Genomic DNA, 17,048 nt, shown 5'->3' on the forward strand with positions numbered 1-17,048 from the left:
TTTCATTCTTCTGCATATGGATATTGTTTTCCTAGCACCATTTATTGAAGAGGCCTTTTCTCTCAAAGCTAGGCCAAATAAGCAATAATATATACATATATGGTATTTCACCTCAGCAAACTCATTTTCAACAAAGATGCCAAGAACATACAATTGGCATCTTTGTTGAAAATGAGTTCACCATAGATGTGTGGATTTGTTTCTGAGTTCCACTATTCTGTTCCATTGGTCTGTGTGTCTGTTTTTATACCAGTACAATGCTGTTTTCGTTACTATAGATCTGTAGCATAATTTTGGAATACTGTTTATAGTATTTTTAAAAATAACATTGGTACTATGTTGTATACATACATATATGTAGTACAGATCATCTTTTATAAAATCTCTTTGTCATTAATGCATCTTAATTTTCCCCATGTTATTACATTTTCTTTTACATGGTTTTTAATATCTGTAATATTCTACCGTAAACATATATCACTGTTTATTTGACCTAGCTTTTTAGAATTTTTAGTATTAAAATTATTTAATCAACATCATTGCTGACGAATTTTCCCTCAGTACCCATATTATTTTCTTAGTGTAATGCCTGATTATAAATACTTAGTATAAAATACTTTGGAAAGTGGATTACTGGTTCATATAATACTTCTTCAAATATATCAGTTTATATTCCTATCAACACTATATGTGAATTACCATTGTCCTAAGAACTACCTTCCCCAAACTGGATATTATCATTTGGATTTCAGGCATAGAAATTTAAAAAAAAAAGACAGAAAACAATAAAGAAGAAACTAAAACCAACTAAAACTATGATGGGGGAGACATATTAGAGAAAACAGCCTTATAGTCCTCAATAGCTCCTGAAATCATCCCTGGGTACTATGCAATAATGAATATTCATAACAATGGCCATGAGTCATCAAGTAAAGGTTAATTCATGCTCAAATAACTTGGCTTCAAAAGTATACATTGCTAGTGGATTGTATTCACTATTTTGTATTCACTATATTGTAACCTTGTATAACCCTTTAGAAAAATAATTCCGGAATATACCTGGAGCCTTAAAATATTATACCTTTTGACTCTATAATTTCACTTTTTGGACTCTATGTTAAAATAAGTAATTCTTATACAAAAAAAAAGGACCAGTGTACCTTAATGTTTACCAATATATTACTCATACTAGCAATAAAATAAAATGAAGCATGAAATTAAATATCCAATGAAAATTGAATACTTGTAGAAATTATGGTAAGTCTACCTACAAGCTGTGATAAACAGCCATTATGATAATATTTATTAATAACTTATAATAACTTTAAAAATACTTATACAAAACTGTGCAAACAATATATTCATAGCTGTGTAAAATGTTACATGCAAAGAAATAGGCTAGAAAAAAATGCATTAAAATATGTAAAATATTAGCAACCATCAATCATCTTTGAATGTTGGAATGATAGATGATTGTCTTCCTTTTATTTTTCTGTCTGTGTTTCAAATTTTCCATAATGATAATATTTTATTTTTATCATAAAAAGAACCATAAACACTTATTTTTAAGTACTTCCTTTAACAAAATTTAGATAAGTATCCCAACTCTTACACAAAGTTTCGTTTTTAAACATTTAAGTTAATTAATGTGTTTACATGCTAAGTTTCAATCATCTGAAGAAATCCTCATCCAAAACTCAACATGATATTCACCATGATAACAGACAAATTTGACATTATTGCATATGAAATATTTCTAAATTCTACCTGCCTTACTGTATAGACTAGAAGGTATTCTGATAGCATTAACAATAAGTATGATGATTTTTTGAGTATCTATATATGTATCAATTATCGATTACTATGATAATGCTACATTATGAAGGACCACAAGAACTTATTAGCAAACTAATGAATGTGTATTAAGTTCATGAGTCTGTGGGTCAGAAATTTAGGCTGGACTTGGCTGGGAACCTCTGCTACTGGATGAGCTTGCCCACGTCTCTAATAGTGAGTGTCATGTTCTATCATAACTAGGTAGATTGTAGCTTTTTCTCATGTCTCATTCTCCAGCAGACTACCTGGTCATGTGGCCACGTTCTCATGGTGATGTCAGAGGGAAGAGTGCCAGCAGAAGTACTCTGCTTAGATCACATCTTCTATCATCCCCTTGTCCAAAGTAAGTCATGTGATCAAACCCTGAGCCAGAAGTGAGGAGACATTCCAGTTATACAGTAATGGGTGTAGCTACAGGCAGCATGGCAGATTTGGCCATTAATGTAATCAATCTTCCACCATATTGAAAACATTTTTAGTTTTCTCTATTTTTAGATGCTATTCTTGGTTCCTGATCTGGTGTTGCCATCAACATGCTAATTGTTCCTGTACACTTGCAAACTCATTAAACCTGAGAAAGACAGCAAGTCTGATTCTTCTGCCTAACTTCAGACTGTAGGGACAAACCAAAAAAAAAAAAAAAAAAAACTATTGTATCCAAATAGAAAAACCTTATGAAAAAAAAGCATCTATTGGGTTGCAGCTGGACAAATTTGATATAGCTGGAGAAAATTTCTCTTGGCCTTGGCTGACATGTATCCATTTCAGAACCAAAAATTGAAAAGAGCATCTGGTATTTTATAACAAGTCTTTGTTATGGTTTATTTTTAAGCTTGAATTTTATCATCCAACACAAAGTTAATTTCATACAAAACTGATTCCATGAGAGCATCAGGATTGATAAATGCTCATTGAGTAACTGAATGCTGGATTTAATCAATTGATATTTGAATTATGTGCTACAACAAATTAATAGTTGAGATCTCTCTGCTGTCTAATTCATCCTGACAGAAATAGACCAGATATATGTTTCCATTTCTTCCCAACACAGAGAAATTTTTGTTATAAACAGACAGAAGTTTTTAAAAAAGGATATCAGCTATTCTACTTACAAATGTATGTCTGATCTGGGATGTTTTACTAAAACAATAAGTTTGAGGAGAATATTAGGTGAGGAAACTCAGTGGACAAAAAGTAGAAAGCTGGTTTCGGCAGAAGGGAACACATCTATTCTCCTTCTTTAATTACCCGTTGAGATAATAAGATAATTATTCATTAGAATTAGGAGATACACATTCATATACTTTGTTTCATCACTAAAAGTGAAGATATTCCTTAAATCATTTTGACCCTTATTATGTGACTGAGACAGAATTGATGTATAACAACATTATAAAGTTATTTGTACATTATTAATGTAAAATTATTGTTGTATTATAAAAAGGCATGAAGTATTAATACATGCTACAAAGAAGATAAACCGTGAAAACATTATGTTAAGTAAACCAGCCACAAAATACCATGTGTTGTATGATTCTATTCCTAAGAAATATCCAAATCTCTGGCCAAACTACAGAGACAGAAGGACTGGGAGTTCCCTGAGGCTGGGATGGTGTAGGGATGGGGGATGACTGCTAATGCATGTGTGTTTCTTTGGGGGAGTTTGAGGTGTTCTAAATTAGATTGTGGTGGTGTTTGCGCAACCCTGTGAATATACTAAAAGTCACTGAGCTGTACATTTTGAACAGGGGAATTTTATGTTATGTGAAATTATGTTGATTAAGTTGTAAAGAAATGTATAGTTAAAAATCTGGCAGCAACGGTTAGAGAAATGGCAAGCATTATGAAGAATATTGGAAGCAAAGGAAATATATCTTAATCATTAAATTGTTTAAAATTAATTGGAATTCTTACTAAAATTATATAAATAATTCAAAAGGATTATAATATCACTTAGATTTAAGTGAACTAAGAATCATTTTCATCATTACTGTAACAACAATAAAACACATAGGAACACATGAGAGTTCCCTATTGAGTTTAAGGAAGGCAAACAATGAGGAAAAAAAGGAAAGTGGAAGATCATAGAAATATAATGCAGAGACAGAAATAAATTCCAGGGAAGGAAATGAAGGGATTCGAAAATAAGAGAAAAGATCAAATAAATGTGGAAAGAGGTCTCAGGAAAATGATGAGTTCTACTTCAGGATTCAGGTTTCTGTGAATGTTAGCTGCTGATTAGGGACAGATAAGACATGGTTCCCTTCCAAGTTGAATTATTGCAGCATAGCATCTCATTTTCTTTTAAACGTTTTTACTGACAGAACCATGCGTGCCTATATTCACAACATATTTGTGACACAAATATGAAAAACATACTTAATTTCCACAGCACCATCGCCCTCTCTAAATAAGTGGGACTTGATCAAATCATGCATCTATAGACCTACGGAACACAATTAGCTCAGGAAGATCTTAGAAAGGGTAGCAAATTTATAGTTCTCAAAGTGTAGATTTGTTTATCTATACTTTATTATTTAACTTTCCTTCAAGGTTCTCCTGTCTTTGTGATTCTCTAAGACAACTTAAATGCTTTAAGAGTCAATAAGGGGCCAGGTGTGGTGGCTCATGCCTGTAGTCCCAGCACTTTGGGAAGCCGAGGTGGGGTGGATCACTTGAGGTTGGGAGTTCCAGACCATCCTGGCCAACATGGTGAAACGCTGTCTCTAAAAATAAAAAATAAAAAAAATTAGCTGGGAGTGGTGGCAGATGCCTGTAATCCCAGCTACTTGGGAGGCTGCGGCAGGAGAGTCACTTCAACATGGGAGGCTGAAGTAGGAGAGTCGCTTGAACCCAGGAGGTGGAGGTTGTAGTGAGCCTGGATCGTGCTACTGCACTGCAGCCTGGGTGACAGAGCAAGACCCCATCTCAAAAAACAAACAAACAGCAACAATAAAAAGAGTCAATACGGGTGCTCACATGCCTGATTATAGCAAGCCATACCACCAGCATAGACATTGATCTCCAAAACCAAAAAGCAGCATTACAGACAGCTCCCTCTCAGGATCTGCTTCAGTTAGTCTTAGGACTCTCAAAGATTCTGGAATATGAATCGATCTATATCACATATCCCAATCGCTTTTGTTGAAATCACATGCCCTTGTCACACACAACATTCATATTGAATTACTTATTTCTTCTCTGTCAAGCAACAGCTTAACCTTGGATTGACTTCTTAGCTTACAAGCTACGCAAAGTTATTATGTGACTGAAAAAAAGCTAAAGTGTGTTTGAGGAAAGCAGACAAGAAAGGCCACATAGTTCAATCAGAGTCAAAGATACCAAATGACAGTTCATCGTTTATATTGCCCAAGGTGAAACTTCACAACCGTAGTCATCCTTCAGTGTTCCGAGCTTCAGAATGTGTTTTTAAAAAACAAAATAATGTCAAGTTAAAGATTAGATATTTAAAATACATTTTATGAGCATTTGGTAACAGCGACAAATCAATCCAATAACGTTTTGTGCTTGTTTGAGGCATTTTGAGTGCTCTACACCACAAAGAAGGACTAAGGTTGGTGTGGGTAGTGGTTACACAAGCTAGGTTGTTTATTCTGGAAAGTTCTTAGACACAAAGTGAGCCCAATCTTTTGGTATTTGCACTGTTTGCCCTGTTAGTGCTTCTTCCTACTTTTTCTACTCTTGGGATGGCCTATTTCCAGATGCAATTTGATCAGTTTGGGGAATATTCTTATCTTGCTTCTTTATTGCCAGAAGATAAGAGGGTTTTTTTCAATCACCATATTGCCTCATTTAAAAAATAATAACAGTTATGTGTTGATGTTTAATGGTAAGAAGCAGTGGCAAACATTCAATTGCTAACATACAATAAACGGAAGAGGCAAACTCAGTAGTGAAGTTACATAACCATTCAAATTAATTTCTTCTTACTTTACAGAGTATAAGATTCCAATTGGATGCAGTTAGACAGCAAATCTTTATTGCATCTAACCAAATATGTTTATGTTATTGAGATGCTCTGGAGTGAGACTATCTGAAATACAGGACAACAGAAATGTGCTAGAAATACACCATTTAGGCTCTGGGAAAAAAAATCTATGAAATTTACATTACATGGCTTTATTTATGTAAAACATAAACCTAAACACTCATTAGAAAGTTAAGCGTGGCTTTAGAAGGTAGTATTACTAAACTGTGGTAGGGACAAAGAAAAATAAAAATAAATTTCAAACAAAATAACAAATGAAAAAAAATCAAAATTTAGATATAGATGAGATAAAAAGAAAACATTGTCAGAGTTATAGTAAAAAGAGTCACTAAAAATGTCAAGACATTTTGGAGATAAATGGAGTTACTAACAAAAAGCCTTTCAAATAGCATTGGTGCAGAATTTTAGAAATGAGCAGAAAAAAACTGGAAATCATAGAAAAGATAAGTAAAAAACTGTTCTCACATTGGGAGAGATACACAAAAAGAGAACTTGTAAATTGTATCATATTATTTCAAATCATTTCTAGATTAGGCAGGATATAAGCAATCAGTAATTAATTAGGATATTTTCTGAAATGAGCTGTCTCTTACTTAGATGCTTGATTAAATTAGTATTTTTAGAAGCGATGTTGGAGAAAATGGCTATTTTAGATTATTATAAGAAGAAACATATTTATTGAAAATATAACCCTGGAATTATTTTTATAGTTATAATGCAAGTAAACCCAGGAAAAATATATTAAAAGGCAAATAATATATTATTTGTACTATATATCATAGTTTATATGATATATTATACAATAATATATACTTTTACATATAACTTTTACTTGGATAACATTTCACTACAATTTCAATTTTTTAAAATGACAATATGACAAGAATCTAGCTATTTTAAATTTAGAAGTAAATCTTGGATCTAAAACCAACTTTTAAAAATTCAGATGGAAAAGCAGCTACCAGCCCAGCTACCTGAGGTATCTGCCAAGAAGCCAGGTGCTTTGTGGGAATCTCTTCCATAGCTTAGCATCTGGGTTTTCTAAGTTGTTACCAAGGGAGGAAAATGGAAAAAATCTACCACAGTGTATAGTGCTGAGGTTACTGGCCTCTTCAGAACAATAATATGAAAATGTTTTCTTTTCAACAATGAGACTCACAAAATGGGAATAGAAATCCAAAGGTAACAAAATACTGTATTCTCTAAAATGTCTTTTCTGCATTATTTTTAATTTATGTTAAGACTGTATTAGCTTCAGAGTGTTTATCTATGTCCCCAAGAGAGGATTAGCTGGGAACATTCTTTGAGATAAACTAAAAGAACTATTTGGTGCTGGCACTGTTAAATTTTTCTGATGTGCAGGTGTTTGTAGTATTTGTACAGTTGACTGATTGGTTTTCATCCAGGTAAATCCACAGAGAATAAGGTTTATCATTTGAGGATAGAGAGGTGCAGAGGCTATTGCAGAATACAGTGAAAACCTGCCACTAGCCACTTCCATGCTATTTTCTAAAGCGTTTCATGTTCTGACTTGGAGAATATAAGCAAGACTTCATTTCACTGAATGTTTCTTACTGATGTTTGCTGAATCACATGCATCTTACTTTTTCCCAAAGTCTTTTATGATCCACTCTGTATTCCTAACTCTTCATTAGTATTACAAAGTGAGAATTTATGTTGTTACAAAATAATAAAATATATGAAATAGCTTGTTATTTTTGGATACGCTTTACAACAGTTATGGAAAAAGAGTTCATACATTTACTCAATTGTTCCATCAACAAAATTTTATGAAGTCTCTGAAATTTTCCAGGCAATGTGCTGGGTGCAGGAGATAGAAGAGTGATCAAAACAGAAATGATCTCTGCCTTCATGAAGTTTATGGTTCAATGGAGAGGCAGAAAAACTGGGTATCACACTGGAATTTTAACTACTAAATGCTGCATTTCACAGGCTGTATTAGATCACAAGCGGAATTAATAAATGATTTAGCCATATTTTGATGCTAAGTGGAGAGTATAAGACTAAAATTTATTGAGCTCATACCACATGCCAGCCTCAGAATTGCATGATGACTAGGCTATGATTAATTTAGCCATTCTGTTAATGGACAACATTTTTTCTAATTTCTTCCTATAACAAATGATGTTACAAAGAATATTCTTATATCATTGTTATACTTGTTTCTCTGTGCAAATATACAAGTGCACATACACAAGGAGTTTTCTAAGACACATCCACAGGAATGGAATTGCTTGGCATTACAGTATGAACATCTTCTAATTTACTACATATTGCCAAATCATTCTCCAAAATGCTTGTACCAACTTATACTTCCACCAACAACACAGAAGAGTCATATTAATTTGTGCCCACACTTCATATTGCAAGACTTAAATTCTGCCAATCTTATGAGTTTAAAATGTATGTAATTGTTGTTTTGATTTTCATTTTCCTGATGACTAATGAATAAAGCATCTCTTAATAAAAACATAAGTGATTCAGCCAGTTTCCTCACCCTTAAGACCATTCATCCACAGTGAAAACCATGGTGTTGGAGATTGGAAATGGCGTTGTTGGAAGGTTCCTTTAAATGATGTTATGCAATGAGTCCCCCAGACCAAAAAAAAAAAAAAAGTGAGCATTTGAGTGTGGCTGCCCCTTATCTTAGTTCTTCAGATACAATGAGCTGATGTCTAACTACAACCTAGAAAACCAAATTGCAGAAACAGGCCAGCCAGCTGTTTCTATAACAGAATAAAGAAGAGTTGATTCTGTATTTGGATTGGTCTGTTCTCCCAGAATTTGTCCAGCAAAGGAAACTGAGACTGCAGTGCACCAGATGCACGCAGAAGGTGGGAGAACTGGCCTGGAGCTGTTTTAAATTCTACCTTAAAGGACAATCTAGAAGGCTGACAGGAACCCAAAGGTATATTTTATGTGCTGCAGAAAAAGTAGGAGGAGCTAAAGTATGTGTGACTAGCAAAAGAAAAATGAATCTCCTATGTCACAGGAAGTGCAAGTTTGTGACTAGGTGATGTGAATAAAATACTCACCTCAGGCACAAAATTTAAGGAGCACAAAAAAGCAAAAATTCAGTAACCAAGATAGTAAAATTTTAATGCACTATTTCAAAAAAAGTCAGAATTAATGCCAAAGAATTTATGATGAACAAAATATTATTTCTTTAAGACAGTTCTCAACCCTGGACTTACATATCCCTGCCTCACTTTCCTCACCCTAATCCTGACTTTTCAGGGAATGTTCCTAGAGGAAGACCCTGAAAAATAAAAAAAATAAAAAAAATAAAGAGCCCAAGAAAGAGTCCGCTTTAAGCCTCTTGCAGGCCCAGAAACCATGAAGTTCTCTTATCCCAGTACCAGCCAGTGAAGACTACACTGCTGCCTTGTCTTTCATCCTTCCTCCCTTCCCAGCACAATCATCAGCCTCATTTCTGTTAGGGTCAGGAGCCACAGCAGGTAGGTGAAGGAGAGGCATGAGGGCTGTGTGTAAGGAGAGCTGACGGTACCAAGTTGAATCTGTGTTTTGTGCCTTAACATGATCATCACAGGTCCTTTTTATCATTTAAGAGATATGGATTCTGTCAAATTTTTTGTCCAGAAGCAAGAAAAAATTAACAAATCAAAGGGACAGTGGAAACAAGATGCTTTCTGTAGGTTCAGTGTACCAGTTACACAAGAAAGTAAATGTATACTTACAAATTGAGACACATGTTCTGCAGAAACTATAGCCTCTCTGCTTTAGATAGGGTGGTCAGAGAAATAGCTCTGGGCATCTCAGAAGAGAGGAGGGAGTGCCAAGCAGCCCAAGAGTTGGTGGCACAGACAAAAACCTAAGAAAAGTCCCTGCAGCAGCAGGAAGTGTGGCTCCTTCTGAATCTGAAAGGCCAGACTCACTAGACCGTACCACTGGCGGTATCAGACAGAAAAGGGGAGCTAGGACCAGATCTGGTGGGCTAAGGCAAGGACTTTGGATTATTTTCTAAGTTTTATAAAGATTCATTCAAGGGTTTTGAGGATCGGATTGGCATGGCCTGCTTTCATCAGTGTTGTCCTAGAGGGTGCAATAAGGCAAGAAGAAGAACTAATATGCATAAAGAATGAAAAGGAAGAAGTAAATTGCCTCTATTCACAGACAATACAGAGTATCCTAAGGAATCCTCAACACAACTACTAAGGAGAACTAATCTATGAACTTCACAATGTGATAAAATTAAAAATCAATATTTAAAAACCACTTTTATTTCTACACATTATTAGAAAAACATAATTGGATAATAAAATTTCCAAAGCAATGTTACTTATAACATCAAAACCATAAAATATTTAAAAATAAAATTAACAAAAGATATGAAAGACCTCTACAATAAAAAACAGAGAGAAATTAAAGGAGGCCTATATAAATGCAATAATGCCATGTTCAAAGAGTAGAAGATTCAATAATGTTAACACATCGATTCTTCCTGAATTAATCCATAGATGCAGTACAATCCCAACAGGCATGTTTTTAAAGAAATTGATAAATTAATTTTAAAATTGTTATAAAAAAGCAAAAGACCTAGAATAGCTATAACTATATTTAAAAAGAACAAACTTGAATGATTCACAATGCCTGATTTCCAAGTTACTTTTATAGTTACAGCATCCAGACAATATGATATTGAGATAAGACAGACAGAAAATAAATTAAACAGACCCAAATATACACAGGCAGTTAATTTTTGACAAAGATGTAAGTTAAATGCAATGGGGAAAGGAAAATTGTTTCAACAAATGTTATTGGAATAACTGGATAACATGAATTTCAATCCTTATTTGACACCTTATACACATATTAATTTGAAATGCATCATAGTCCTAAATATGAGAGCAAAAATTATAAAACTTCTAGAAGAAAACATTGTAAAACACTTTAGTAACCCTACGTTTGGCAAAGATTTCTTTAAAAAGACATGTAGTAACATAAAATTAACATAAAATATTAACATAAAAATAGATACATGGACCTCATCAAAATTAAAATTCAACTGGAAAACATTACCTCAACAAAATTAGCTTAAAAACACTCCATAAAAATATAAATGGCAAGACATAGACTGGGAGAAAGTATTCTCAAATTATATATCTATAATCTTCACATGTAAGTAAAGAACTCTTGCACATAATTAACCAAACCACAAATGATCAATTACAAATGGACAAAAGAATTAGCATCCAAAAGAAGATATATCAATGGTTAACACATGAAAAGTTCTCAGCACAATTAGTAATGATGGAAATGCAAATCAAAACCAGAGATTCCCTTTCCTATCACTAGAATGGCTACAATAAAAAGTGTTGACAACACCAAATATTGAGGAGGATGTGGTAGATCTGCAATTCTCAGACATCACTGGCAGGGTGAAAATTTAAGAACTTTAGGAAACATTTGAGAGGTTTTTAGTAAGTTGTATCCGTACCTACTCTACAAGTAGTTGTACTTCAATATATTTTAGTAGTTATACTTCAATATATTTACCCAAGGGGAATAAAAATGCATTTCCTCACAAAGAATTGTACATGGACGTTCACAGCAACATTAATCACATTATTCATAATACCCAAAGAGTGAAAACAATTCTAATGTCTATCAACCAACAAAAGAATAAACAAAATGTTTTATATTCATACAATTAAATATTATTCAGGAATTCAAAGTATAAGCTTTACACTCCTATGCACGCGCGCACACACACACACACACAAATAATAAAGGCTTCATTTGTTGTAGTTGAGTTCTGTTGCTTCTAGATGCCTACACAACCCTCAAGGCTTCAAAATAGCCTCTTCCAGAAAAAACATTTAAAAATATTCACCCCTGACATGGCTCCAATTGTGGGAACACAGTTTATTCAGGGTAATAAACGGAATTTTACATCTTCTCTTCTTTTGTGCTTAAAGAAGTGTTTTAAAATGTTTCATTTATTTTAATGTGAGATTAAAGTGGAGAAAAAGGTTATTAAAGTGTAATTATGATATAATACATCCTTCTATTTTTGTTATACTAGGAGAAGAGTGTTAATATAATGAAATACCTACCTTTAATTTTACAATAGATGAAGGCTACATTCATTTGCAACTTTTGTTTAAAGAATCTGAATTAGAGGAAAATGTTTGCTTACTTCTGTGAATAAAAAAATGAAACCAAGTTTAATAGAAATTAAAATAAGAAGAAATCAAAGAAAAATGATTTATCAAAACTTATTATTTACTTACAATAGGTTTAAGCCTTCACATTATATAAATTATATATATCAGTAAAGGGTCTTTCAGCTTCTCTCCAGGACCCTTGGCACACCTATAAATTTGAATAAATCTTTCCAGCCTCTTTTTTCTGGTGAATTCTTTCACTACAAATTTAAATACTTATTGTAAGCAAGTAATATTTTATATAGTTATTATATTTCTTCATTTCAAGAGCACATGCATATCTTAATTCATTCTAGATGATCCCAATTTGTGGAATGTTACAGCTTGTGTTCATGTGTAATTATGTACCATTAAAATAATAATAGCTGTCATTCATTCAGAACCTCCTATACCTGACACTGTGCTAACTATATCACACACATTATCTCAACTAATCCTCACAACAGGCCTAGGAAGTAGGGACAATAATTAATCTCCATGTTGCAGATGAGAATTCAGAAGCTCAGAGAAATTAAGAAACATAACCAAAGTCTCACTGTTAGGAAATACCAGAGCAGGATTTGAACTAAGTTCTTCAAGACTTTACAGCCTGTAGTTTTAAAAGCCAGGCATACTGCTGCTTGGTTCTCTGAACTTAATACAGGTTATTATGCATAACTAATGTCACCCATGAAGGGCCTGACACCGGATGTCTTAGATAACACAAAGAGAAACTGTCCACAGCTTTACTGTGGCTCTTCCCATAGCCCTGGAGCTGTCTGGGTGAGTGGCCCTAAGCAGTATAAATACTGAGATTACCTCGTTGTAAACATAACATCACTAGGCTTCAGTGATACCCAATTTCTAGTTGTATTTTACCTTATACTTTGTTCATAAAGATCTCCTTACCAAATATATCAGATGGATTATGGATTTATTTCTTCTACCAAAGCCCTGCTAAAAGAATAGTAAATGTGTTTCAAATTGTATTAATCTACCAGGGCAATAATAGGAGGAGAAGGATGCTTGGAAAATAGAATAGGAAAAAAATAATGACTTTAGACAACTACCAAATATGAATCTTGATATAGAAAATTATATTTAAAATAAAAATTCAAGTAAACCTCACAGAACATAAAACAAAAAGTCAAAAATATGGAAAATATAAAAGAAAAAGTAATAAACATTTCCAATATCTTTAGAGTAATATTTCTAGAGAGAGAACAAAGAAAATAAAGGGGAAAGAATTATCACATATAAAACTCAATAAACAATTTTAAAGGTAAAAGACATAAGCCCCTAAATTTGACTAGCTCACTAAGTACCCAAAAAAGCGAATAAAATAAAAAGATGAACCCAAATGATACCACCTTGAAATTTCAGAATTAGATGTTCTACAAGAAAAGCTCCCAGAAGAAAGAAAGTAGTCTCCAAAGGAGGAACAGAAATCAAATAACATCAGACCCCTCAACAGCAATGCTGGATCCTAGAAGACAATGTAGTCAGATCTTCAACATTCTAAAGAAAAAAATATTTTTCACCTAAAATGTTGTATAATATATTGCTGAAATGTAAAGATGAAGATATTTGCAAGCATGCAAAGTATATAACATTAGTAGGATAACAGCATATGCTAAAATAAAGGAATACTATTATGATATATATATATATGTAAACAAATGTGTGTGTGTGTGTGTATTTGAAGATTATTTCTTGCTCTTCTAAAGGACCATGGTAACAATCCATGCTACTAGATGTCGCTCTTCATGTGGTCACTCAGGGAACTCAGACCAAAAAGGCCCTGCCACCTCCAACAAGTACATAGAGGACACAGAGGGGGAACGAACTTGAGAGGCCACACGTGAGAGGCTTTTACAAGCCAGACCTGGAAGTGGCATATCACTTTGCACATTCCATTGGTCATAATTTAGCTTCATGGGAGATGAGAATTATAACCATATACCTAGAAAGAAGAGGAAATGGACTTCGGTAAACAAATAGCAGTCGTCTTTGCCAAACAAAGACTGGCAAATATACTTTCAATGATTGGTTCTTAGAAAATTACTGAAAGATACACTTCAGCAAAATGAGGGAGTAAAGCAAGAATGAGGACACACTATAGGATTTAAGACACAGAAGATGGAGAGTACAGTAATGAAGACAAACCGTAGAACCAGAGAACAGACAGACCATGTTGAAGCATGAGGAATAAGAGGTTTGTTAGTTAACCCAATCGATGTGAGCTATTCCTACAAACTTGATGAAGAAGTGATTACCAATTCTTCAGAAATATGTTTCCCCTCCACTGGGAAATGTCAAAATAGGCAACTTTCTTTTCTCAGTCTTCAGGGGGCTGTGTCATCCTTACTTGAAAGCGGACTCTGTGGTGCTCCCTATGCTGAGCTCTACCAGGTGGGACTAGGCTCTTTCCTCTGCCTGTCCCCCCATGACACCCTAAAAATCTGGGAAAGTTGGTTTGGCTTAGCAGCACCCTCAGAACATGAACTCTGCTCACCATACTAGGTTCCCACTTTAATTTACCTTTTACTTTGGCCTCTGATAATTCTTTGTTTTCTAGCCAGATCTTTGATGCACTTTCTTTACTTTTTTCTCTTATTTATCTGTTTATTTATTTAGAGACAGGGTCTTGTTCTGTTACCTAGCCTGGAGAGCAGTGATACAATCATACCTCACCACAACCTCAGGCCTGCCAGACTCAAGCAATTCTTCTACTTCAGCCTCCTGAGTAGCTGGGACCACAGAAGCGCACCACAATGCCCAGTTAATTTTTTAAATATTTTGTAGAGACAGAGTCTCAGCATGTTGCCCAGGGTGGTCTTGAACTTCTGAGCTCAAGTGATTCTCTGGCCTTGGCCTCTCAAACTGCTGGAATTACAGGAGTGAGCCACAGCACTCAGCCTGGCCTGGGGCACTTTCAATAGCAGAGAGTCATTTTCAGCAGAAGGACTCTTCCTCCATCCTGTTCTCATGATAGTGAGTGAGTTGTCATGTGATCTGATGGTTTTATAAGACGCTTTTCCTCCTTTTGCTCTTCACTTCTCCTTGCTGCCACAATGTGAAGAAGGACATGTTTGCTTCCACTTATATACCATGATTGTTAAGTTTCCTGAGGCCTCCCCAGCCATGCTGAACTGTCAGTCAATTGTCAGTTAAATCTCTTTCCTTTATGAATTACCCAGTCTTGGGTATGTCTCTACTAGCAGCATGAAAACAAAATAATACAAGATATTTCTCTTATTTGCTTTGAAACTAAAATAGGGGCTACCACTTTAGTAGGGTGATCAAAAAGAAAAGAAAAACAACTTAGATATATGAAGCAGAGCTTAATATGTAACAGAACATGTGATACATGCAACAGTGGCCTGGCACGGTGGCTCATGCCTGTAATCCCAGCACTTTGGGAGGCCAAGGCAGCCGAGCCAGGAGATCGAGACCATCCTGGCTAACACAGTGAAACCTCATCTCTACTAAAAATACAAAAAATTAGCTGGGGGTGGTGGCAGGTGCCTGTAGTCCCAGCTACTCAGGAGGCTGAGGCAGGAGAATGGTGTGAACCTGGGAGGCGGAGCTTGCAGTGAGCCTCCATCGCACCATTGCACTCCAGCCTGGGCAACACAGCGAGACTCCCATCTCAAAAAAAAAAAATACATGAAACAGCATATAACAGAAGCAAAAAGTATGTCTTTGATGTTGTAAGCTACTGAGATTTTGAGCTATTTATTATCACAATAGAACGTAACAAAAATTGGCTAACAGAGAAATAATTTAAGTAAGGGAGTACTTAGAATAGTTTTATTATTTCCCCTTAGAACTCCTGTACTGGTCCAGTAATTTTTTTTTTTTTTTTTGCTTAAGCTACTTTTATTCTTTGAAAATCAACACTCTCTATATATAATCAAAACATTTTGTTAGGAAATACAAGTACAGTAGACCCTTCAACAACGTGGGAGTCAGGGCACTGATGCCCACACAGCAGAAAATTTGAGTATAAGTTTTGACTCCCCCAAACCTTAACTACTAATAGTCTTATTGTTGAACAAAATCCTTACCCATAACATAACACGTTTTGTATGTTATATTTATCATATACTGTGTTCCCATAATAAAGTAAGCTTGATAAAAGAATATGTTAAGAAAATCATAAAGAAGAGAAAATACATTAACTATTTTCTTTCTATTCGCTAAGTGAAAGTGGATTAATACAAAAATCTTCATCTTCATCGTCTTCATGTTGAATAGACTGAGGAGGAGGAGGAAAAGAATGGGTTGGGCTCACTGTCTCAGGGACGGCAGAGGTAGAAGAAAAGCTATGTGTAAGTGGACCCATGCAGTTCAAACCTGTGTTGTTCAAGGGTCAACTGTAATTAGCTTGTAACTTTTCACATTAGTCTGTAAGCCAAAATATCATAAGCAATTGACTCAATGTAATTATAAACATATCATCATACTAAAAAACACAATATGTGGCCTTTCCAACCAGGGCTATTGTTTGTATTGGATAATTTTCAATAAGCAGAGGGTTGCCTGAAATGCAATTTCCTAATTTAGTAAGTGATTGCATAAAATACTCACAAATATCTTTGCTTTTTAGTTCTTTTTAATTTTAAAAGCAATGGAATAAAACATCAATGGAGAAAATAATATATGGGTAAGTTGACCAAAAACTTAATCTGAAGTCATAAAAACTCTATTAAAACTACCTATCATTGTAGATAAAAGTGATTTCAATTATATTTATAAAGATCTGTCAACTTTTCTCATAAAAACAATACCTTATAAATAAATATTCAAACCTCTGAATTTTAAGATTCAGTTTAGACATATGTTATGAGTTGGATTCTTACCATTGTAATTTCTCAAGTCACACATACCCTATGTTATATTGACTAAAATTTCTCACTGCCAAATCCTCAAAATACAAAATCTTGATATAAGTTCAGTTCCCTTCCTTAGAAAAGGTAGGAAATTAAATATTATTTTACTAAATATGCCAG

The 17,048-nt window shown here is 34.3% G+C and overlaps 1 long non-coding RNA gene across 1 annotated transcript in view; it reads right to left on the reverse strand.

Moving 5' to 3' along the window:
• Nucleotides 1-12,028, reverse strand: part of FLJ46284 (uncharacterized LOC441369) — a 73,099-nt gene extending 61,071 nt beyond the window's left edge. The window contains exon 1 of the long non-coding RNA NR_046114.1: nt 11,944-12,028. This is a non-coding gene — a long non-coding RNA (uncharacterized LOC441369). The remainder of the gene's footprint in view (nt 1-11,943) is intronic.
• Between the last annotated feature and the right edge of the window lie 5,020 nt (nt 12,029-17,048).

Source organism: Homo sapiens, chromosome 8, assembly GCF_000001405.40.
Source record: "Homo sapiens chromosome 8, GRCh38.p14 Primary Assembly".
Classification (NCBI taxonomy): domain Eukaryota; kingdom Metazoa; phylum Chordata; class Mammalia; order Primates; family Hominidae; genus Homo; species Homo sapiens.